Source organism: Homo sapiens, chromosome X, assembly GCF_000001405.40.
Source record: "Homo sapiens chromosome X, GRCh38.p14 Primary Assembly".
Taxonomy (NCBI): Eukaryota; Metazoa; Chordata; class Mammalia; order Primates; family Hominidae; genus Homo; species Homo sapiens.
The window spans coordinates 17,015,377-17,040,635 of NC_000023.11; the positions used below are offsets into that span (position 1 = coordinate 17,015,377).

Genomic DNA, 25,259 nt, shown 5'->3' on the forward strand with positions numbered 1-25,259 from the left:
AACCTTTTTCTTTTTTTTTCTTCTTTTTTAAATTTTATTTTATTATTATTATACTTTAAGTTTTAGGGTACATGTGCACAACGTGCAGGTTTGTTACATATGTATACATGTGCCATGTTGGTGTGCTGCACCCATTAACTCGTCATTTAACATTAGGTATTTCTCCTAACACTATCCCTCCCCCCTTCCCCCACCCCACAACAGTCCCCGGTGTGTGATGTTCCCCTTCCTGTGTCCATGTGTTCTCATTGTTCAATTCCCACCTATGAGTGAGAACATGCGGTGTTTGGTTTTTTGTCCTTGCAATAGTTTGCGGAGAATGATGGTTTCCAGCTTCATCCATGTCCCTACAAAGGACATGAACTCATCATTTTTTATGGCTGCATAGTATTCCATGGTGTATATGTGCCACATTTTCTTAATCCAGTCTATCATTGTGGGACATTTGGGTTGGTTCCAAGTCTTTGCTATTGTGAATAGTGCCGCAATAAACACACATGTGCATGTGTCTTTATAGCAGCATGATTTATAATCCTTTGGGTATATACCCAGTAATGGGATGGCTGGGTCAAATGGTATTTCTAGTTCTAGATCCCTGAGGAATCGCCACACTGACTTCCACAATGATTGAACTAGTTTACAGTCCCACCAACAGTGTAAAAGTGTTCCTGTTTCTCCACATCCTCTCCAGCATCTGTTGTTTCCTGACTTTTTGATGATCGCCATTCTAACTGGTGTGAGATGGTGTCTCTCTGTGGTTTTGATTTGCATTTCTCTGATGGCCAGTGATGATGAGCATTTTTTCATGTGTTTTTTGACTGCGTAAATGTCTTCTTTTGAGAAGTGTCTGTTCATATCCTTCGCCCACTTTAAAGGGTCAGATAGACTTTGTGGGCAGTATGATTTTGGTCACAACTACTCAACCCTGTTGTAGTATGAAAGTAGCCATGGACAGCATGTAATCAGAGGATCATGGCTGTGTGCTAATAAAACTTTATTTATGAACACTGAAATTTGAATTTTTAATTTTTTTTATTTTTTATTTTTGAGACAGAGTCTCACTCTTGTCACCCAGGCTGGAGTGCTGCAGAGGCACGATCTCAGCTCACTGCCACCTCCACCTTCTGTGTTCAAGCTATTCTCCTGCTTCAGCCTCCTGAGTAGCTGGGACTACAGGCCTGTGCCACCACGCCTGGCTAATTTTTGTATTTTAGTAGAGATGGGGTTTCACCATGTTGGTCAGGCTAGTCTCAAACTCCTGACCTCGAATGATCCACCCATCTTGGTCTCCCAAAGTGCTGGGATTACAGGTGTGAGCCACTATGCCTGGCCTGACATTTGAATTTAATATAATTTTCACATCATGAAATATTTTTCTTTTTTCTTTTTTTTTTTTTTTTTTTTTGCAAATATTCAAACATTGTGCTTGCGGGATGTACAGAAATAGGCAGCAGACTGGATTTGGTTCTTAGGTATACACCCAAGATAAATAAATTCATGTCCATCAAAAAACATTTATAAGAATTTCACAGCAGCTTTATTTACAATGGGCCCACACTGGAAACAACCCAAATGTTTATCACAGGATAATGGATTAAAATTTTCAATATATTCTTTTAGGGTCTTGCTCTGTCACCTAGACTGGAGTGTAATGGTGCTGTTTCAGTTCACTGTAACCTCCACCTTCCAAGCTCAAGCCATCCTCCCACCTCAGCCTCCTGAGTAGCTGGGACTATAGGTGTACACCACCATGCCTGGCTAATTTTTGTATTTTTTGTAGAGATGGGGTTTTGCCATGTTGCCCACACTGGTCTCGAACTTCTGAGCTCAAGAAATCTACCTACCTCGGCCTCCCAAAGTGCTGGGATCACAGGTGTGAGCTACTGCTCCTGGCTCAATATATTCTTAAAAGTGGATTGCTCCATAGCAATGAAAAAGAATGAACTATGTGTACAATACATTGGGTGATTATCACAGACAAAAAGGTCGTAAAAAAAGCTTGTCACAAGAACAAATACTGTATGATTCAATGTATGAAGTTCCATAATGGCAAAGATAATCTGCAAGTATAGAAATTAGTACAGAGGTTGCTCGGTGGAACAAAGGGAGGGGATTACTGGAAATGAACATGAAGGAAAATTCTGTATCTTAATTTGGGAATTTGGGTGTTGGTTACAGGGATATATATATATATATATGTATTTGTCAAAATTCTTCAAGTGGAACACTTACAATTCCCTATAAATCATCCCACCATACAGAATACTCTTTACATAATTTAAAAAGAAATCAATTAGTTGCTTACATTTAACATTGTAATAATAATAAAATACAGTAAAATACAGATTTCTGGCCACAATGGCTCACATTCCCATGTAGCAACTATCAACTAGAGCTGTGCTGTTTCAGTATGGTAGCCAGTAGCTGCATGTGGCTGTTGAGCACATAAAATGTGACAAGCACAAATTGAGGTATGCAAGGAGGGTAAAATATACATGGGAGTTTGAAGGCTTAATATGAAAAAAAATGTAAAATATTTCATTAATAGTTTTTAATGTTGATTACATGTTGAAATGATAATATTGGGTTAAATTAGATTATTAAAATTTTGCCATTAAAAATGTTTTGAAATGGAAAATTTTTAATTGTGATAAAATACAAATAACATTTCCCATCTTAACCATTTTAAATGTATAATTCAGTAATGTGTAAATATAGTCACATTGTTGGGTAACTAGTTTCTAGAACCTTTTCACCTCACCTTACAAAATGGAAACTCTGTATTCATTAAACACCTTCCCATTTTCTTTTTCCTACCCAGATCCTGGCAACTGCCTTTTTTTTTTTTTTTTTTTTTTTGAGTGCAGTGACGTGATCATGGCTTACTGCTACCTCTGCCTCCCAGGCTCAAGAGATTCTTGTGCCTCAGCCTCCCGAGTAGCTGGGATTACAGGCGCATGCACCACTACACCCAGCTAATTTTTGTATTTTTAGTAGAGATGGGGTTTTGTCATGTTGGCCAGGCTAGTCTTGAACTCCTGGCCTCAAGTGATCTGCCCACCTCAGCCTCCCAAAGTGCTGGGATTACAAGTGTGAGCCACTGCACCTGGCCTGCCCATCTACTTTCTGGTTCTATGAGTTTGGCTACTCTTGATGCCTCATATAAGTGAAACCACACAGTACCTGTCTTTTTGTGACCAGCTTGTTTCACTTCTTTCTTTCTTTCTTTTTTTTTTTTTTTAATGTGGCTCACATTCTTTTTTGGCAGATAACATTGAAAGACTGTGAACAGCTGCTGCCATTTTGATGGAACATGAGTTCTCTGCCCAGCACCCTCCACTCCATATTGTCTAGCTAATGAGGCTCAATGTCACTTGCCATTTATTATTGCATTTATGCTGTTTACATTTTTTCTAATGGATTGAGGAAATTGAGGTATTTTTTTTTCTTTTTTGAGTGACAGGGTTTCACTGTCACCCAGGCTGGAGTGCAGTGGCATGATGCAGCCTTGAACTCTCAGACTCAAGCGATCTTCCTGCCTCAGCCTCCTGAGTAGCTGGGACTACAGGCATATGCCACCATGCCCAGCTGATTTTTTATTTTTATTTTTTTAAGAGAAGGGGTCTTACTGTGTTGTCCAGGCTGGTCTCAAACTGCTGGGCTCAAGTGATCCTCCCACCTCGGCCTCCCAAAGTGCTGGGATTACAGGCATGAGCCACCACTCCCAGCCTAAAGTATTCCTAATATATCTGTATCTCTATCAAATATGGAAAAACAAAGGATTTTTCTCTCTTGTAGAGGGTCAAGTGTTTAAAAAGGAGCAGGCATAATTTTCTTTGTGGAAGGGAAAAATAGTCATTTATGTTTAATATACAAAGCATTTCTGTGTTCAAAGAATGTAACCTAAGATGAAACAACAATGAAGCAAATTGTCATCTTGGATGGCCACTCTCATTGTCTCCTCAGACCCTCTAAACATTTAGTGTGAACTCTTACTTTGTTTGCTGTGTGTAATTCAATTCAGTTTGGGAGACAAGATTCTAACCAATGACTACAAATAGACCTTCTTCTTGACAGACATCATTGTATAGCAGGTACTTTATTGATTAATTTTTTCAAAGTTTCACTATTAAATTTTGTGTATGTGTGACTAGGAAAAACATTCAGTTGAGTATGGTGACTCATGCCTGTAATCCCAGCACTTTAGGAGGCCAAGACGGGAGGATCGCTTGAGCTCAGGAATTTGAGACCTGTCTGGGCAATATAGCAAGACCCCATCTTTACGAAAAATAAAAAAAGAAATTAGCCAGCATGGTGGCAAGCACCTGGAGTCCCAGCTACTTGGGAGGCTGAGGCAGGAGGATCAGTTGAGTCTGGGAGTTCAAGGCTGCAATGAGCTATGTTAGTGCCACTGCACTTCAGTCTGAGAGACAGACCTTGTCTCAAAAAAACAAAAACCAAAAAAAACATTCAGACTGAAAATTTACAAACTACTTTTACCTTTCACTTTTTAAAAGCTTGCATCAGTTTAAGGGAAATGGCACCTTCATGAAAGTTTTCCATGATAAGAATATTATTATGTATGGTTATACTTCTGTTAAGTGAGAGTTGCTTGGAACCACCTGACCAAAGAAAGTATGAGAGAACTTCAGCTGTATTTTGTCTTTTGCTGTTTGGTGGCTGTCTGGGGGAGAGAGGTGGTTTTCTAGGCACATAGCTCTAAAGAAATGCCATAGACAGGGTGGAAGAATGTGTGAAGTGACAATGTCCTAGACAATATCTGGGAGCCCTACTTAAGTCCTAATATAATAATTGATATTCATAATTCAGTTAGTGTATTCCATTGTTCCTTGGAGGTATCTGTTGAATGCCAGTAAGGCACTGGTCAGGGAGCTTATAAATACTGAGCATTTATTTCTTTTCTCCCTCAAGAAGTACTTGGAAGTAGAGTCATCCTCTTATGGGTAGATCAGGGTGCAAATTATTTTATGTGATCTTGTTTCATCTTTTTAGATCCTTTTTCCTGACTGAGCTGGAGCACATACCTGAGACCAAAACCATAGAGTTAGCTTATATTTGATTTACTAAGAATCTAGAGTTTCTTTTCTCTTGCTTTTTTGCTTTTGAAGCCCATTCCTGCTTTGAGTGCTGGAGAGCTGCCCGAGATTGGGAAACATTAAGATTGGTTACTCTATTTATGTCTCTTGGGCCCTTGGCTGATTGATCACACAGGGATTTGTCATATTGCCTGCTTCTTTTTTTTTTTTCTGGTACAGAATTTTGCTCTTGTTGCCCAGGCTGGAGTGCAATGGCATGATCTTGGCTCACTGCAACCTCCGCCTCCTGGGTTTAAGCAATTCTCCTGCCTCAGCCTCCTGAGTAGCTGGGATTACAGGCGCCTGACGCCACGCCTGGCTAATTTTTGGTATTTTTGTGTAGAGACGGGGTTTTACCATGTTGGCCAGGTTAGTTTCGAACTCCTGACCTCAGGAGGTCCACCCGCCTCCGCCTCCCAAAGTGCTGGAATTATAGGCGTAAGTGAGCCACTGCGCCCGGCCGCCTGCTGCTTTGAATCAAATGTGAACATAGCAACTAAAAGTAAACATCATGTGGATGTTAGAGAACCAGGGGCCTTCTTTGCCTGGGGAACTCTAGGATACTTGCTTGCTGTTGCTAAGATGTTTTCTGGCCTTAGCACAGCATCAGTCATTGAAAGTGCAGCTGTGTTTTTGGAATAGAGAGCTGATGGAAGTGCAAAGGCACACTGATGAGTATTATCCTGAACAATGGATACAGATGCAAATCATTATGCATAATCCATAATGTCCCCATTTTTGTAGGGTTTTGTGCTACGTGATTGTGTGTGATTTGATGTGCTGAGAACTAGAAGTGTGCCAAAGTATCATTTCCGCTTTCAGAATAGTTTTGTTAGAATTTTGAAAGATGAGTAAATATACCAGACCGTTGCTTTTCAACTCTTTGTAGCATTTTGAGTGGCTAATGGTTTTGACAGAAGAATGTGGCTGAATGATAGATTGATTGCTCTGACTTGATATTGTTTTCCTTATTCCATTATGAAAAGACAACCAGAGATTGGATGTGAAAATTCCTTAAAGAATTACATAGGATGAGAAACTGTTCTACCCACTAAGTTTGCCATAGGAACAAGGGACCATTCTGTAGAGCACTGGTAAAGTACCAGCTTGCCTGCATTCAAACCGTGGCTCTGCCACAGATGAGTTGTGTGATCCTGGGGACATTACTTAGCTCCTTTATGACTGTTTCTACTTTTGCAATGAGGGGGTGGTAATGATAGTTTTATCATACAGAGTTGTTGTGAGGATTAAATGAGTTAATATTTGCAAATCTTTAATACTGTGCCTGGCATATTTAAGCATTATATGAATTTTACCTGCCACCATTTGTCACTTATTATTGTATTATACAGTGTCATATCCTTTTTCTTGGTTATTGAAGGATGAAATGGGAGATCAGTCCCAAATCTGAATTTATTCTGCGATTTGGCAACATTGAAAAATGTTAAGCCAGAATACTTTGGTTAAACCATAGCATTTTAAAAATCAGGACGTTATTATAGGAGTACTCATTGTATCTAAATCTAAATTTATATTTAGTGCTCTGGAATTTTTCCTCAAAAATGATTCATCGTTTGGCCATTGAGTTCCCCTTTTTTGCAGTTTTTAAATTAAGTCTGACTAGAGCTTCTCTGATTTCTGGTCCCAAAGAATTGCCTCTGCCTCGCTTTATGATGTCAAAGAATGATGGTGAGATACGATTTGGGAACCCAGCTGAGCTGCATGGAACTAAGGTTCAGATTCCATATTTAACTACAGAAAAAAATTCCTTCAAAAGAATGGACGATGAGGATAAACAGGTAAACAGTTTGTTCAGATGTGTTCATTTGATTCTGACCATGAAACCGCATGTAGCAGGGCCTCGTATCTACTGTTCAGCTTCCAGCAAATCTCACCATCTGGAACCCAATTACAGACTTGGAAGTGAGCCAGTAAAGTTTTCTCCTAGCAAGAAAGAGAGACCGACACATATGAATCACCACCACCCACTTAAGGGCCCTTTAGAGCCTACTTTAAAGTAGAATTGTGTCTAAAATAAGGCTACCGATTTAATACATTTATTGATTTCACTAGCTCAGTGGTTTTCTAAATGGATTCTTGGAAATGTAACTTCCAGGAGTTTTTAATAGGTTCTCTTCTCCAAAAAGAAGTCTGTAGAAAAGGTTTCTCCTATTATAATAAATGTGTTTGGAGAATGCTGCTTCATATTCCCTTGTTGAGGGAAGGACTAAATCCTCAGTCTTGGAAATTCGTAGTGCACATTAGCACGGTAAAAGCCCTGAGAAGTTCTGCAGTGAAGAGACCTGGAAATGTGTGTTTACTAAACTTCTTTCACCAGGAAATTCTTTCTTGGGGAACATATTTGGAATACTATCTTGGGAAATGCTGCCATTACCCATTTAGCAGGTTTGGAACCAGAACAGGGAGGATAGGCTTTTAAAATTAGACCACTAATTGCAATGGTCAGATGATGATTGGTGGAGACAACAGTATAAAATCTCAGAAGAGTGGGCAGATCCAGAAGAAGTAAATAGTCTACACATTGGTGTACCCTGCAGGCATCAAGGTATAGCTCATACTTCCAGCAAAGATACTGAATCATGCAGAGAAGTCAAATTATGTTCAACATAGTGTCTTCTATAAGGTAAAGAAATTTATTATAGGAACACTTGAGGCTGGGCACGGTGGCTCACGCCTGTAATCCCAGCACTTTGGGAGGCCAAGGCGGGTGGATCACAAGAGGTCAGGAGTTCAAGAGCAGCCTGGCCAACATGGCAAAACCCTGTCTCTACTAGAAATACAAAAATTAGCCGGGCGTGGTGGCATGTGCCTGTAGTCCCAGCTACTTGGAAGGCTGAGGCAGGAGAATGGCTTGAATCCGGGAGGCGGAGATTGCAGTGAGCCGAGATCACATCACTGCACTCCAGCCTGGGCCACAGAGCAAGACTGTGTCTCAAAAAAAAAAAAAAAGGAACACTCGAATGAAAATGTTTTTAAAATGCAATGAATATTAAATGATTATGTTGGAAAACTAACTTCTGTGACTTACCCTGTGATGTTGTGTAGATGAGGTGTTGCTACAGAAGTTTTATATGGATAGTTAGGGGAGGTGTAGCACATCCTGTTAAACAATTCCATGTACTGTCACTTTCATAATTCTGACACATTTTAAATCAGTTCTTCAGGGATATATTTAAAAAGGAAGAGGTATAGGAATTTTCAGTCAATATTCTTTGGCATATTTTCCCACCAGCATTTGGAGAGGAATGAGGGTCCACTGTCCCACGGTGGTTGATGCCCTGGGAAATTTCCAGGCCCAGTCCCTGATTGTGTGAATGAGAATACATCCTTTCACTTCAGGCTGAGTTTATGCATGCCCCACCCAATCTATGGGTGTGAGCTCATGCTTTAGAGCAAACATATTTTGCTTTTTCTTGAAGAAGAGTATTTGATCAGTATTTCAGATTACATATTTCTCTTTAGACTAAGGGAGCCTATATATATAGTCTGTGTGTTGATAGAAAGCATTGTTTTGGCTGGGTGTAGTGGCTCATGCCTGTAATCCCAGCAGTTGGGGAGGCCGAAGCAGGAGGATTGCTTGAGCCCAAGAATTCAAGACCAGCCTGGGCAACATAGCAAGACCTCATTTCAAAAAAAAAAAAAAAAAATTAGCTGTGTGTGGTGGCGCATGCCTGTAGTAGCTACTGGGGGTGCTGAGGTGGGAGGATTGCTTGAGCCCAGGAAGTCAAGGCTGCAGTGAGCTATGATCACGCCACTGTGCCCCAGCCTGGGTGACAGAGCGAGACCCTGTCTCAAACAAACAAACAAACAAAAAAAAGCACTGTTTTCTTGGTACTTGAATACTCCAAAGTTACCAGTCTACTAGTAAAGTTTTTTTTTTTTTTTTTTTTTTTTAAAGAGGAAACTCAGCAGCAGATAAGGTTGCTTACTTTGCCTAGGGTTCTACATCAGGTTCATATTTGAATTGAGATTCAAATTGTAGCTTGTTAAGATTTCATCTTAGTGTTTGGGAGTAAGCTGGTTGGAATGGTTTACCTATAATGAATTGTTTTGCAGTCTCTCATTGTTAAAAAAAAAAAGCTAGCATTTTACTTTGACATGGTAAGCTCCAAGAATATTAAGTATTAAGCATTTAGAAATATATATTTTAATATTCACATTTGCTGGAAGACTTGATAAGTATAAATCCAGGAAATAAATTTATTAATGAATGAAAATGAAATCTATCCACAGAGAGATCACAATTGGGAGCGGGTATGAATGTTATTTCATGTGATCAGTGTCTTTCATTTTCCAAAGGAAAATATTATTGGAATAACCAAAAGTGTTTCAGGCTGGTTTTAGTAATTTAGGTAACTCAGCACTGATGAGATTTTATTCTCTGGGAGACTTTTTGAATCCTCAGACACTGCTGTTTAACCATGCTGCATTTTTGAGAAAACATTTCCCCCCATTTGTTAAACCAGCTGGGTCACCAGCAGTAGAGTTGCGTTATGCTTCCTGACTGCAGCTCAGAACGCCAGGCTTGAGTGAGCGCCTCTGAACTCTGATCTGGTTCTTTGAAGCAGGAAACACAGTCTCCCACGATGTCACCCCTCGCCTCCCCTCCTTCTTCCCCGCCTCATTACCAGAGGGTGCCCTTGAGCCATGGCTACAGCAAACTGCGGAGCAGCGCAGAACAGATGCATCCAGGTAAGAGGCGACCTGGGGGCCAGCTGTCCCAGGCAGTGTCTTAGAGACTCCTTAATTTACCAGGCGGTAACGCTTCAAGCTGCTTAATTTCCTGATTTAATTACCCCTGTCTTTGGAAACATGGCTCAATTTAATTTTATATTCTCAAGCAAGGTTTTTTTTTAAAAATTGATTTAAACATATTTGAGTAATGTTTCATCTCCTGTCCTAGAAACTAGTTCGTCTTTAGACTTGTAAACAGCTAGATGATTTAATCTTTCATATACAGATTTTATTGAATAGAACATACCATATTAAGGGCTTGTATTTTTTTTGGAATTGTTATTCCTTTCTGTAAGCACACCAAAGATATTTATATAGTAACTGCTTTAATGAAATTTCTTAAGAAATATAACTGCAAAAGCAAAAGAGTTGATCCAACCTTTGAAGACTGAGCACGTAAATGAAAATATATAGGTCCTGTGCTTTGGAATAAGGATAAAGGAAATGCTAGGGGTAGCATTTTGCTGAGGGGTATGTAGCATGCACAGTTGTGGGGTTGCCTTCTTGCTCACATTTATGCTCTGCTGGCCTCGTTAGGTGGTAAAATACGTTAGTTCTGAGGATGACTTGCAGAGTTGGCTGTTTAGGCTGCAGTGCCTAAAGCACTGGAAATTCACTGCAGCATCTTGTGCCTCCTGGGGTTCAGACTCCTAGTTTAAGATATGACCAATTAAAGGTATTCTAGAACTGGATATCTGTAAACCCCCACCCCCCCAGTTTTGTTTTGTGGGCTGTGGCCCCAAATGACCCAGTTTCTGCAGGTTTTTACTGCATTAAAAATAGTGGTGACTTTTAGAGGGACACAGAAATAAAACTGCGCGCTAGGCTGAATAAAGAGAGGCTGTAATCTTGCAGAGAGAAGCAGGCGTGGCATAATGGCAATAGCTTTTGATTGGAAGCAGAAGGTGTGTGGGTTTCTGTGACTAGCTGTAGGACTTTGGGCAGGCCATTGAACATCTCTGAACCACGATTACCTCTTCTCTCTTAAAATGGAGTAACAGTATCCTAGAGGGGTATTAGAAGATTAAGTGAGAATGTGAGTATAAAATCTGTTTGGAAATTAAGTCCTATGCACATGCAAGATGATGTTGCTAATGGATAGTAACAAAAAAATCACTGTCCTGTAACTTGAATATCTCAGTGGGGTTAGAAACTAAATGGAGTTGAGAATTCTTCATTTTCCTCTTATAGTTTCCCTGATCTGATTTCCCTATTTTCAGGAGTGGGTTTTTTTTTTTTTTTTCCTATTTCTAATCTTACTTGGGTTTGGAAGTTGGTTTTTAATTCACAGGTGAAACTTTTTGTTCTACTGAGTCAGCCTGTCAGCAAGTTCTACCTTTGGTATTCCTTAGAAAACTTTTCTGTTCCTCCTCCTTAATGCCCCATTCCCTCCTCATTCCATACAAATTGGGCTTCCATTTCCCCAGTGGTAAGGAAGCAGCTTGCTTCTCTCCATCTTTCTTGACTCTCAGCAGCCTGTGCCAAAGCTGTCCATGCCTTCATTTCTTTTCATACTTTTTTAAAAGTGAGGTAAAATATACATATGATAAAATGTACCCGTTTTATTTGTTCATTTTTGAGACAGGTTCTCACTTTGTCACTCAGGCTGGAGTGCACTGGCGCGATCATGGCTCACTGTAGCCTTGATCTCCTAGGTTTAGGTGATCCTCCCACCTCAGCCTCCTGAGTTGGTGGGATTACAGACATGTGCCACCACACCGGGCTAATTTTCTTTTTGTATTTTTTTGTAGAGATGGGATTTCGCCATGTTGCCCAGGCTGGTCTCGAACCCCTGGACTCAAGCGATCCGCTCTCCTTGTCCTCCCAAAGTACTGGGATTACAGGTGTGAGCCACAATGCCTGGCCATGCACATGTTTTAAATCTTCAATTTGAGTTTTAGCAAATGGATAGGCCCTTGTAGCTACCACTTTGATCAGTAATTGAACATATCCATTATGCCAGAGATGACCCTCTCCGGTCACTCCCTGCCCCCTAACGCAATCACTGTTCTGATTTTCATCACCATCATTAGTTTTGCTTCTTCTAGAACTTCATATGAATGAAAACACACAGAATGACTGACTGTACTCATATGTGTTTGCCATCTTTCCTTCAGCATAATGGTTGAAATTTATCTGTATTGTTGTATCAGTAGTTCATTCCTTTTTATTATTTAGTAGTGGGATATATTGTGTGAATGCATCACAGTTCGACGATCTGTTCTCCTGGTGCTGGACATTTGAGTTGTTTCCAGTGTTTGGCTATTATGAATAAGGATACTATGAACATTCATGTATGAGTCCTTCTGTGACATATGCTGTCATTTCCCTGGCTCCTAGGAATAGAGTCACTCAGTTTTAGGGTAGTTGTATATGAAACTGCCAAAGAGTTCTGGTTTGACACTGAACTTCAGAGTGATGAAATCTTTAGGTTTTTTTTTTTTTTTTTTTTTTTGTACACCTCCCCTTGGAGAAAGATGGTACTTCCAGTTCTTATTAAACCTCTTGTAAGGGGATCAAAGAATTATTTGTTTTGCACTGTATTGCATGTTTGGGGTTTCATTTGGGAAGAAAGAGAGTTGAGTAATAGCTACTTTTTAACCTTCTGAATTCAGATCCAATTAAGGAAGGAGCCAGAAGTCAGACAATTGATGGCCTGAATATCAGCTTTATTACTGATATAGCTGATCAGAGCACATGTCTTAGATTTGTGACCAGATGGGCTTTAGACACTCACCTTTCCAGTCACAGGCAGGCTTGGCCATCCCAGATTTCCCACACAAGTAGGAAGAGAAAATCTGCCTCTCCAAAAAAGGCCCCCCATGCAGCTGAGTCTTCATCCAAGCCCTACTGATGAGATAGGTCTGTCTCTTCCAAGGGAAGGCCCTTGTAGGTGAGGGATAGAAGCCAAGGGCCAGATGGTGGCCTGTTCCCCCATGTGTCTCCCCTGGAAGTAGAAGTAGAAGCTCTTATGGGAAGCAGAGGCACGTGGGATTCACTTCCTAAGGAAAGCTCATGACTGCTAGCACCCCAACCATGCCACAGTTCACTGTGTTTCAAACCTTTTGGCAGAGCGCAATTGGTATTAGTGATTTAATTCAGTGCTCCATCAACACAGAATGATTTTAAAAATCCTACTTCTCAGAAGACAATGGTGGCCTACCAGCTGAGACTTACTTTTTAAAATTTGGATTATGTGCTCTCTATGTATGTATGTTTTGCAGTTTTTATATCTGTATTCATTCTTAGCAGGTTCTGAAAATCTACTTGATGGGTTGCCAGGCAATTGTTTTGCTATTTTAATGTGTGTTAATGTATTGTAACATTGTGTTCCAGTTACTAGGAAGAAATACAAAAAGCAGATGTGAGCCCAAGAGTGATTTATCATTCTTGATGTGCTATTGTTGTACCTTCTTTATTTTAAAAAGAGCAAACTATGTTAAACATGAGGTCATAACAGGCTGCTCTGCTCTCTACCTAATTTTATTTGTAAGTAAGCTACAGAAATAAAACATTTTACTTATTTATATATTTTCAAAAACTTGAACTATTAACCTATAGAGATGAGAAAGAATTTCAACTTGGGTGATAATTTCTGCTTTCTGTTGGAGCTGCATACTACCTGGTTATGTTTAACTGTCTCCCTGCCATATTGGTAAGGTCATTATTAAGTCTTCTGGAAATAAAAGGAGTGAAAACATACATTCATTTTTGTGGCTTAAAAAGTTATTTTAAAGGCAGCAAAATTGTTTTTTAAAAGTTTGGTTATTGAATAGTAGAATAATAAATATAAAATATATTTATTCATTTTCGTAGTCTTCTCTACATGATTTTACATTCTGTTTGATTTATTTTTCAAAAATAATGTTGGTTCTTAGTGTTCAAAATGCACATTAGTTTTCTTCTTGGGGAAGTGGATGATCAATGGAAGACATTTACTTAGGGGGGATATATAGAATTTACCTCATATTTAGAATTTGAACACTTATGACACTTTTCTAGCTATTGTTGCTTTCTATCCCAATTGAAGTTCTCACTGTTCCACCTTCACAATTTATTCCTAATCATAACCCAGTGTAAATATTTTTCTGCTTATCATGAATTGGTTGAATGTCTTTAGATTGTTTAGTGAAATTGTGCCAAAGAGAATCAGGGGTTGTCAGTCCTAGATGGCCCTATGAGTATTCTGTTGCCAGTTCTTTCCTGAAAAGCAGATGCTGTATCAGTTTGAATGTGAAGTCATAATTTTTGAATGGAATCTTTGCATACCATACTGACTTTCCTTTCTGCTGTTTCAGCACCTTATGAAGCTAGGCAGCCCCTTGTCCAGCCCGAGGGATCCTCATCAGGGGGCCCAGGAACCAAGCCCCTTCGGCATCAGGCTTCCCTTATCCGGGTAAGTGATGATGCAGGGTTATGCCAATGGGACAGTAGAGTCAAGCTTTGGGCTTCGGGGACATGGCTTTTTGATGGACCCTTTTTCATTGCAAGGAAGATATAAAACTGATCCTTCATGCAAATATTGCATGTCTTGTTTGGTTGCTTGTATAAATTACTAAATCTTTTCTACTGTGTATGTCTCTACGCCTTCTCAGTGTCTCTAGAATAAACTAGGCTGCTTCTTGATCTTTAGTATATCTAAAATGTCCCTCTGCCTTCACCTATCTAATCATTAGCCACCACTTTCAGGAGAGCTTCACTTTTTCTAAAGCAGCCCATCTTGTCTCTGCCTTATTCTTTATTATTACTCATTTAATGCATAGTTAACTGTTTTCCATTTGTTTTGTGCCTCTAATTACATGGTAAACTTTTGGAAGGCAGAAGTAGTTCTGTATTCTCTCTCAGTGCCTAGACCAAGAGAACAGTTATTGTACAATGGCAGCAGCTGCTGTTTCCTTATGTAATAAATACAAAAGAAATATTATGGCAAAAGCTTCTGGCTATACCACAGCTTAGACAATTTCAGCTTCCCTTTCTGCAGTGTTTTCCTTTGGATAAAGAGCTCTTATTTTGTTCTCTGTCTGCAGCTGTTGCCTTGTGTAGTGTCTCTGGGTCCTGTGCTGGGGAAGTTATATTCTCAAAGAAGGGTGTGTGTGTGTGTGTGTGTGTGTGTGTGCACGCGCGGGTGTGCAGGTTTACTATTTGACACTAAAGAGGAAGTGGGGCAGTTTGTATAACATTTCAGTCATCTAACTCGGGAATAAGGAACATTTTTGCACAGGCACTTCTACTCAGAATAGAAGGGTGGTGTCAGACACTCCCATAAAGATGTGGGCTGCTAGGTTGGAATAGGATAAACAAAGTCTAAAGAAGGTCCTGGGGTTCATGGAATACCTTCTGGGGATGGGGCACTGTGTTAGATGTGGTGCAGAACTTGATTTTCTAAGGTGGGACTCTGTGTACAAATAATTTCTTAAAGATAATAATTTAGCCATAGGCTATTTTTTATATTTAATGCTTCCTACAACCATAAGATCTAGTTACTGCTGCTTCTAATAGTATAAGTGAGTTGACTGTGGTTGAGAGAGGTCAAATAGCTGGTTTAAGGTTTCATTCATAACTAGTCAGTGACAGAGCCAGAATTTGAATCCAGGCCTGTCCAATGTCAAAACCTGCTCCTTTCATTACTTTGTCCTACATTAGAGTCCCATATTACAAGAAGGCTAGGTTCTAGAGTTGCTACATAAAGAAACGTTGGGTGTAGTAAAAAATACTCTTGAAAAATCCCTTATTGATACCACACTGGAGAACCAATATGCCATTTGCTCCCAGGGCCAGTACAGCTCAGTTTTATCCCCAAGTTGGAAAACACATTTGTTTCTTCAGCTGAGCTCCAGATGTAGTAGTTGGCTGTGTTTAGAGATCCTGTGGTACAAAAATATGTGCCTTTAAACACGAGAATCACACCCACTGTGGAGTGAGGTTTACGTTAGAAAAGGTATCAGTAGGACTGGGATTTATCCCTAAGCTCTCCAAAATGTGGCTGTGTAGGTTCCTACAGAGTGTGTCCTGGGAATACAGAGGCCAGATCCTGAATGGTTAGGATGATAGTCAAACTACCAGTGCATACTGAGCTTTACAGCAGTGTGACTGGGCTCACTAGACCCTTTCTACCTAGCCCCTGGCTGGCATGGGCATGGATGCTCATTTGGATTGGCACCCTGTGGCTTCTCTTCTAATCTCCATGTTCCCTTTTCTGCTGACAAACATGCTTCATGAGCCCTTCACTCAACTAATATTTAGTGAACACCTATTAAGTGCCAGGCACTGTGTTGAGAATACAAAAATGAGGTATAACACTAACAGTTTCTGCCCTCATGGAGCTACTGGAGAGATGGTCATTAACCAAACCACCACAAAGTAAATGTATAATTATGATATGGGATATCAGTAGGAATTACACTGTACTTTAAGGATGAAAATGGGCATGGGGTATGACCTAGCCTTGAGGGGCAGGGGCTGATCAAAGAAGGCTTCTGGTGGGGGAGCAACATTCGAGTTGGAATAAGGGTACATGGGTGTTATCCAGGTGACAGGGTGGGAGTGCGGGAGCAAGGTGACAAGATGGAGGGAACCGCATATACAAAGACATTTCCTATGGGTTTGCCATTTTATGAACATTATCTCTTTCAGTGCCCACAGCTATCTTATGAAATAATTAGTGTTGTTATCCCATTTTCAGATGTCAGAACCTGAGGTTTAGAGACCTTATTTAATTTGCCCAAGTTCACAGCTAGGAAGTGGCAGGGCTGGAGTTCAAACACTGGTCAAGGTTCCTCAGTCTCTGGCTCAGGAACCAGATAGATGGTGGTGTCACCTGTTGAGCTAGGAAGCCCTAGATGAAATACTGGCACTGGGGAAAGATCACAGGTTCAGTGTTTGATGTCAGGAACTGAGGTTTTGAGATAGTCCAGAGAAGCTGTTGAAGAACTGGTAGATTACATGGGTCTGGAGCTTGGGAGAGAGCTTAGGCTGGACATAGGTATTTGGCAGCAATTGGCTATCAGAAGGTCTCATGGTATAGTGCAGAAAAAACCAGACAGGTGCTCGCCCAAGTCCAGCAAAACTCTGTGTGACCTTGGGCAAGTTCCTTCTCTTTTCTGTAATACAAATGACTTCGAATGGATTTAACAGCCCATTGTAACAATCAGCAACAGTCCGATTCTCTTAATGTGTCTGTGGTTTTCATGGCTGGTGTGTTTTTCTTTCCTCTGTTCTTAGGTTTCCTTCTTATGCCTGTTAACTTGGTTTGGCTGGACTCCGTGTTCCAGAAAGCAAAATGCCAACCTGGATTAGTCATGTAGATGAGGGGATTTGAAGTGAAGGTTCTTGGTGATAAGGGATTAATGTTTACTGGGCATGGTGCTAGGCCTAGGCTGGGGTGACTAATCCCCCTCATGTTGTCACGTTGATGTGCCGATGGCAACCTTCTTTCTCTTCTAACTAGTTCTCTGGCCTTGTATTCAAGTTCTTCCTGCCTGATTACAAGGGGGCATGTCCTCTGGGTCCTGGGGGAAGCCTTTAGGGACTCCCAGCCAGTGCTGTTGCAACCCATGGTGTTGGCATTTTAGAGGTGCTTATGCCAATCCAGTGCCTAAACATTGGAATGATTTGTCTTTTTGCTTACTATTTTAGGAATTTCACTTTTGTTCGGGTGTTGGATTTTTTTCCCTTTGAAATTTCAGACACTAAGCATATCCTATGTTGGTAGATGATTGATAGTGCTTTGTAAAGAAATTATAAGACTTATTTTCTGCTTCATCTGTTATCATATGTTTAGATGTTGTTTTGTGGTTTGTTTTTCACAAATTACCCTCAACATCTAGATGATGTAGTCATTTGTAATTTTGCTGGCAAAAGATTTAGAATTGCACGCTTTATTCCTACTGTTCTCAGCTGCCTCTGTTTTTGCCAGGGTCATGAGAAACTTTATGTTAAGCCGTTGTCTTTATTGTCTCCTTGGCAGCTGTGGACACTGACCATCTTCTCGAAATGCTCTCATCATTTGGTGTCCATTATGCCTGCTCTCCTGGTTTTCCTCATGCTTCTATGGCTGCCCCTGCCTCATTTGTTTCAATCCTCCTTCCTCTGCCCTCCCCTTGTTATGCTGGAGACTGCTGGGCCTACTTCTCACTCTACTTACTCTTTAGATGTGTGGATGCTCATGACCACATAGCACCATCTGCCAGACATCTTCACTCTAATGTTCCACTGTCACTTTCAGCTGACATGTCTTTCTCATAAAATCAGCTTTCACTCTTCCACTCCTAGCTCCACCCACCCATCAGCACAGGCCAGAATGCTGGTCATTGTCTTTGACTTCTCTTTCTCTCCTTATGCCTGTTCAGTCCCCAAGTCCTGACCATACCACTTTTCAAATAGCTTGTGTCTGTCCATGCCTCTGTACTTCTTCGTTCAGGCCATTATCCTTTTCACTGATTGTATTGTATTAGCCTCTCTCTTGTTTCTTCTTGCTTCCACCCTTGCCTTCTTCCAATTCATTATTCTCATTGCACACAAAAACAATCTTAAAAACACAAATCTAATCATCCTGCTGACTTGATTGAAGCCTGTCCCTCTCTGCCCATGGCTCTTAACATGTCATCCATGTTGCTGTCTGGCCCTCGCCTACCTCCTCGGCCACAGCAGCTCACTGCCGCTTTCCCTCCACTCTCTGGCCATTTCCCGGATGGTCAGTGTTCTCTGCGTGGGAGCCTTACTCTTCACCCTCACTTTTGCCTTCTTTGTTTTCTCCTTTGTCTCAATTCATCTATGCTTTTTTCCCCATTAAGAACGTGAAACGTAAGTGTTTTCTGATATTTTCTTGTATATGCGATGTTTCCTTTTTTTTTCATTCTTAAAAAGAAAAAGATCTATTGCTTGTCAGCTCATTTATGTGTGCAACTCAGCCAGAGGGATGGGCGTCTGATCATTATTGGTTTCCCATCTCAGAGGCAACCAGGGTTGCCTGTTTCTTTTGTATCATTCTAGGAACATTTTACGCATGTACATGCAAATATAGGTATTCATATATATTAATATGTGTGTGTATGCACTATATGTATTTATATATTTATTTATTTTTTTAGACGGAGTTTTGCTCTTGTTGCCCAGGCTGGAGTACAATGGCACCATCTTGGCTCACTGCAACCTCCACCTCCTGGGTCCAAGCGATTCTCCTGCCTCAGCCTCCCGAGTAGCTGGGATTACAGGCATTCTCCACCATGCCCAGCTAATTTTGTATTTTTATTAGAGACGGGGTTTCTCCATGTTGGTCAGGCTGGTCTTGAACTCCTGACCTCAGGTGATCTGCCCGCCTCGGACTCCCAAAGTGGTGCAATATATTTTTACCTGAATTTAGGGAGACATGTTTGGCAAATGAATATATTCTTCCAGCTAGATTGCACTAGAAAAAATTATCTTTTATTTAAAACCAAAACACATTCACTTTTCAAACCCTCAGGATACTGTTGTGATGTTTTCTTTGCTTTTTGGAGGGATGAAAGTAACAGTTTTCTAGAACATATTCTCAACACTCACTACTCTTCTTCAGAGATGAAAAAATGACAAACAGAATTTAGATACCTCTATTACTCTACCATTCCTCAGGGGGCTTAGCTATATTTTTGGTGTAAGTTTTCTAATGATCAGGTAGGGGAGGGGATGTTAGGCATTGTTAGCCAGCACCATATTCATCTCGAAGTGCATAACTTGAAAAATGTTTATTTAACTTAGTTATCTCCTTTCCTCCTCATCTCAGTTTCTTGCCGTACCTCCTCCCCTAGATATAACTGCAGGTACTTACGGCCAGAAGCAGGTGATCTCCACTCCTTGGGTCCTCTTGGAACCCAAGAGAAAAGGCAAGTATATGAAAGATGATTAAAGAAATGAATATTCCTGAGGCTCTGTCAGAGTGGTGTTGGCCTGAGTCAAAAGATAATTGATAGTCACCACAAATAAATTGTTCATTCTAAGAGCTTTGATGAAAACAGCAGGAAATAGCCTTTGGGGGAGGCTGATATTGCACCGAGAGATCTTCTTGTGGCATGAAAGATATTTTATGGGTAGACTGGACCAGGATGCAAGCAGGATAAGGAGAGCGGAGGAGTGAGAATGACTGATGGTTTGGGATGGGATTGAGTGAGGTGGGTTAGAGTTGAGTCATGAGAGAGTTGGTCATCTGAGTTTGGAAGAAGAGTGAAGCAGGTAAACAAGCGGGGCATACTGGGTACTGTCTTGGCTACTCTGGTTGTCTAACCTAATACTCAGCCCAGGGAATTGACCCACAGAGCAGGTCAGGCCCGCCCGGATTCTTTTGGGGTTCAAGAATTATTTACCAAGGCATTACTTGGTAAGTAAGTGTTCATACGAACGTGTGTGAGCTCTCAAACACACTTGTTCTTCAGAGCAAATACAGATTTTAAAAATATGTCAAACATTCAACAGATACAAAAGGGCACAGTGAAAACTGTCCCTACCATTTCCCCGCACAGCCACTCATCCCAGGGGCAACTGATATGACCCATTTATTTTGTATAGTACTATACAAAACATTTATATAATATTGTATATGAATATCTTTTTTATATACAAGTGAAAATAGGTATTATATATAATTACATGTAATATATGCAAAACACAGTTATGCTTTTTTACACATATGGTGGCATACTATACATCTAACATGCATTTAGCACTAACAATAAGCTTTATTAACGTTCTATAGCAGCACATAAAGTACTTCCTCATCTTTTTGTTTTTTACAGATGCATAGTATTTCCTTGTCTGCGTCTTGTGTAAATCATTTAGCCAGCCCCTTTTGATTGACATCTTGTACTTGCAATCACTGCGTTGTTTGCAGATATATGGGAGACCAATTCCTAGAAATTGAATTATTGGGTGAAAATGCCTATATATTTGTAATTTTTGATAACGACTTTCAAATTGGAGGTATAGCAGCCTATGTACTTGCCAACAATATATGAAAATGTCTGTTTTCTCGTACCTTTGTGAAAACAATGTGCTAACAAATTTATGGGTCTTTGCCAATCTGATAGGTGAAAAATGATAGCTCACTGTAGTTTAATTAGCATATCTCTTTATTAGTGAAGTGAAATATCTTAAGTTTATGAGTCACTTGTATTTCCTTTTCTGTGAACTGTTGATTCATATCAAGTGCCCCTTTTTCTTTTGAGTATTGGTTTGTCATTCTTAATGGCATGAAACCAGAAGCTGGTCTGTCTTTTCCTTTGGACCAGAGATATACTGGAGTGTGTGTGGAAGATTTCTCCCTGAGTGGTGAGAGGAGATGCTGGCACCTGAGGCTCTCGAAGGAGGTTATGGACCCCAGCTGCTTCCCAGTTCTGGAGAACCCCAGGCCTGCCTGCAGTGCAGATTTCTTGTTTATAAGGTCATGACAGTAAAGTTGAATTACTTAGTTTATGGGTAGAGATTAGGGCTAAAAAAAAATCCTCTGTTGTTAGAGATGGTAAATGTCAACACTGTGTGTGTGCGTTGATCTCTCAGCATTGCTTAGACAGCTAAATTATGTTCCTTTCACTGAAATGGGTGGGAGGAGGAGATAGAGGTAGAGATAAAGATAGATAGAGGGAGAGAGTATAAGTGTGTGTGTGTGTGTGTGTTAGGAAGAGTGAGTTTGATGCCTTTTCTAGGTATGTATGTGCCTTATTCTTGAGATCTTCTTTCACCAAATTCATTCCTCGTTTCATTTGAGACCCCAGCTGGACGTTTATACCATCTCCTAAGGGGTCAAAGGTTAACATGTCCTCCAGGTGTCCTACTTCACTGAGTCTACTATAGAACCCACATATACCTGAACGGACACTATTGCCACAAGGAGGTCCTATTTTTTCATAGCCTCCAGTCTCCTGCTTACTTATTTTCTTCACCTGCTTGTAGTTCTCTTTCTGATTTTCTAGCCCTTAACTTTTGAGGAAGGATTTCTAGCTCTTAACTTTTGGGGAAGGAAACATTTAATCTCAACTGATACTGAAGTTTATTTTCTCAGTGCCAATCTTTTCTACTTGTTTCTTTTTTCTTTTTTCCTTTTCTTTTCATTGATTGATTGATTGATTGATTGAGATGGAGTCTCGCTCTGTTGCCCAGGCTGGAGTGCAGTGGCGCGATCTTGGCTGACTACAACCTCTGCCTCCCAGGCTCCAGCAATTCTCCTGCCTCAGCTTCCTGAGTAGCTGGGACTACAGGCGTGCGCCACTGCGCCTGGCTATTTTTTGTATATATTTCTTTTAGTAGAGACGGGGTTTCACCATGTTGGCCAGGGTGGTCTTGAACTCCTGACCTCAAGTGATTCACCCGCCTTGGCCTCCCAAAGTACTAGGATTACAGGCGTGAGCCACCATGCCCGGCCTCTACCTGTTTCTTAGTGTATTCCTCAGGTGCTCACTGTGTACCACACTTCTTGACAATAAAAGAGATGTTTAGTTAATTTAGCCTCCCAGAGGTAGCTGAAAACACTGGTTTGAACTGCTGGTTCCAGGCAGTACTTTGTAAATCTGGAAAGGATAGTAGCTTATTCCCCAGGACCTTTTGGTCTCAGTTATATGCCAGGCTATGGATATGGAAGACTTCTTTACAACTGGCACCATTTTAGCCCCTGGGCCCATCAGTCTTTCCCTTGATCTCAGGCGAGCAGGGAGTGTCATGCCCCCCCAGTTGCCTATCCCAACAATAGTCACTACTGACTGAGGTGCTTCTTTGGTCCCAGTGCTGTGCTGGCCCTTTTCAGTCCTCCCAACAATCTCACAAGGTAGGTATTATTACATCTTCCATTTGTCCATTTGGAAATACTTAAGTGGCTTCCATGAGTCAGCCACCATGCCAGGGGTACACTGAGGAGTACACCTATAGCCTCTTGCTCTCTAGGTGCTTGCAGTCAAAAGGAGGAGATAGATTTGAATCAAATGATCCCACCTATGCATGTGGAATTAAAAACTGACAATTGCCCTAAAGGCCTTAAAACATGGTACCATGTAGCAAAGGAATCCAGCCTATAGCTAGAAAGTGAGAGAAGGCTCCTTTAACAAAGTATGTGTTGAGCTGAGCTGTGAAGGATGAATAGAAGTTAACCAGGCTAAGGAAGGATGGTCCTGGGAGGTGAGGAGAGGAGTGGAGTGTTTCCTGTAGAGGTAAGAGCCTCTCCAAAACCGCACAGCAGAGCTGGGCTGCTGAGAGAGCTTTGCTTCTGTCACAATCAGAAAGCTACAGCATTGGGAAACTGCTGCCCTAGTGTCAGCTCCAACCAGATCCACACTACAAACTACCTTGGCAGCCAAATGAAAGCTTTGTTCCCTGCCTGTAACTTGGGTCTGCATCCGTCTTCCGTGGGTGTATTTGTTGAGTGGAACCTAAGTCCTATTTGGAATTCTAGCAGCAAAGGTGTTTTGACAGTGGAGTTTTTAGCTAGCCAGCTTGTGCAGTGCTGGGACTTATGCTGACGGGTGGAATGGACTCGTGACCCAGTCTCTACCATATTTCACAGGGAGAGCAGATACATTTGAAGAACTGAAAGAAGGCAGCTGTGGCTAGAGCCTGGAGTGGGAGGGAGATGAGGTCGGAGAGGGAGGCAGGGCCCTGTGGGCTATGTGACTGCCTTGCAGGTGGGAGCTGATGGCTCAGAAGTTAATTTACTGGTTAGTAAGTGACCATGCCAAATTGGAACCCAAGTCTGTCTGCCTCTGGAACCTGTACTCTTTTTGCACCTCCAGTCAGTAGCCTCATTCTCCAAAGCATTCTTGAATTCTGTCCAAGTTGTGGATGCATCTGTTTCCCATCTGAACTCAGACTGCCTTGAGTGTGAAGGGGAGAACGTAGTGAAGAGACAGGCAGCCTTGGCCTGACCAGCAAGGACAGGGGTGGGAACGTCATCGCTTCGTTAATGGAAGTCTGCAGCCTTGTCAGAGTCTCCTCTTACTGCTGATTTCTCATTTTTCTTGGCTTTCTCCTCTAAGCAGAGCACAAAATCCTGATAATAGTGAAGGAAAAGTGCCCTTCTGGAACAGCAAATCTTGGCCCCTGAGGGGAGAATTGGAGGCAGTGGTTACTAATGAGCATTTCTTATGTTAATCAAAATACTGTTAGCGCCACATACTGCAATCACAGTAAAATGATTACATACCTGGATTGTATGGCTAGCTCTAGGATTCTTTTGTGATGACGTGCCAGATGCTTACCTGCAAAAATTATGTGAGAAATAAAATGGTGCTCTGTCAGTATGATTTAATAGTTCGCCAGCCAAAATCTAAAACTAAACTAGATGATGGGGAGGAAGGTGTAATACAGCATAGTCATAGCTCAAGCACAGATCCTCAATCTGCAAAATTGCAGCAATGATTTAGGCATTGCAGTGAGGTTCTTTTTGTAATAAATGCTCTATTTTTACAGGATGGATGAACAGATAGAGATAACTATAGAGCTTGATGATCAAGTGTACGTACTTTGGACCCAGTTTGTATTCTGGCTCTACCATGTGCCATAGGTGTGTGGTCTTGGTAAATTACTTCCCTTACCTAATCCTCAGTTTCCTGTTCTGCAAAATGGGAATTACCGGATTTACCTCGCAGGGTTGTGAAGATGAAAATTGATTGTGTGCATTAGGTACTTACAGTGCCTGGCACTTAGCAAAGCAATGAATGCTTGTTACCTGACATTCTTCTGTGTCTAAGTGATCGTTTCAAAAAGTATAGCTTATTGTAATAAGCAGCAACTGTGTGTTGCACATTAGGCTCAGAGAGATTCCTACAGTTTGGCAGTCAGCCTTCTGAACTATTGAAATTAGATCCCTAAGTAAGTTAGGTAATATGTGGTTAAAGGCATCTTTGTGGGTTTATTTCCCTGAAGAAACAGATAAGGTTAAATTTCTCTGTTGGGACTTAATTTTAACTAACTTCTCTACAGAAAAACCAAATTATTTATTGCAACTTCCTGTGAATCTATAATTATTTTGAAATAAAGACTAGAAAGAAGGAGTTTTTTAAAAAGTTCTCTGACTTCAGAGGTAAGGGAGAGGGCTCAGCCTTTATAGTGTTGGATGACATTATGTGATAAATGCATATAAAGTTCAGCTTCAGTCAGCTTAAGAGAACTCAGGTTAACCTTTCTCTGTCTCTAGACTGGGATTGAGAATTTTTTCGAATGTTTGTTTGTTTACTCATTCAGCAAATAACTTATTGAGTGTTTTGTATGTGTTAGTGACTTTTCCAGGCATTTGGGATATAGCAGTGATCAGGATAGACAAAATTTTCTGTCCTCCTGGGTTTTATGGGATAGCATGGGGTAGGGTGAGAGGCAGAGCATAAACAAGATTGATCAAGCATAATTTGGAATCGTTTCATGTTAAAACAAAATTGCTAAGCTCTGTCTCCTTTTCTA

At 40.8% G+C, this 25,259-nt stretch overlaps 1 protein-coding gene across 17 annotated transcripts in view, besides 2 other annotated features; it reads left to right on the top strand.

Moving 5' to 3' along the window:
• REPS2 (RALBP1 associated Eps domain containing 2) overlaps positions 1-25,259 on the top strand; it is a 249,998-nt gene that overhangs the window by 68,719 nt on the left and 156,020 nt on the right. For 10 of the 17 annotated variants that reach the window (XM_017029956.3, XM_011545603.3, XM_011545606.3 and 7 more), the window contains exons 3-5: positions 6,747-6,895; positions 9,683-9,809; positions 14,150-14,247. In XM_017029956.3, the coding sequence (XP_016885445.1) occupies positions 6,747-6,895; positions 9,683-9,809; positions 14,150-14,247 (374 nt within the window). The remainder of the gene's footprint in view (positions 1-6,746; positions 6,896-9,682; positions 9,810-14,149; positions 14,248-25,259) is intronic. The other 7 variants (XM_011545604.3, XM_024452479.2, XM_017029955.2 and 4 more) reach the window with 2 other exon arrangements.
• Positions 6,736-6,936: a silencer, noted in NCBI's record as "peak7360 fragment used in MPRA reporter construct". NCBI's record gives its function as "represses an SCP1 promoter by STARR-seq MPRAs in K562 erythroleukemia cells {active_cell/tissue: K562}" and the evidence as "EXISTENCE:reporter gene assay evidence [ECO:0000049][PMID:32103011]".
• Positions 11,217-11,475: a silencer, noted in NCBI's record as "fragment chrX:17044716-17044974 (GRCh37/hg19 assembly coordinates)". NCBI's record gives its function as "represses an EF-1alpha promoter that drives an FKBP-Casp9 reporter gene in an ReSE screen in HepG2 liver carcinoma cells {active_cell/tissue: HepG2}" and the evidence as "EXISTENCE:reporter gene assay evidence [ECO:0000049][PMID:32094911]".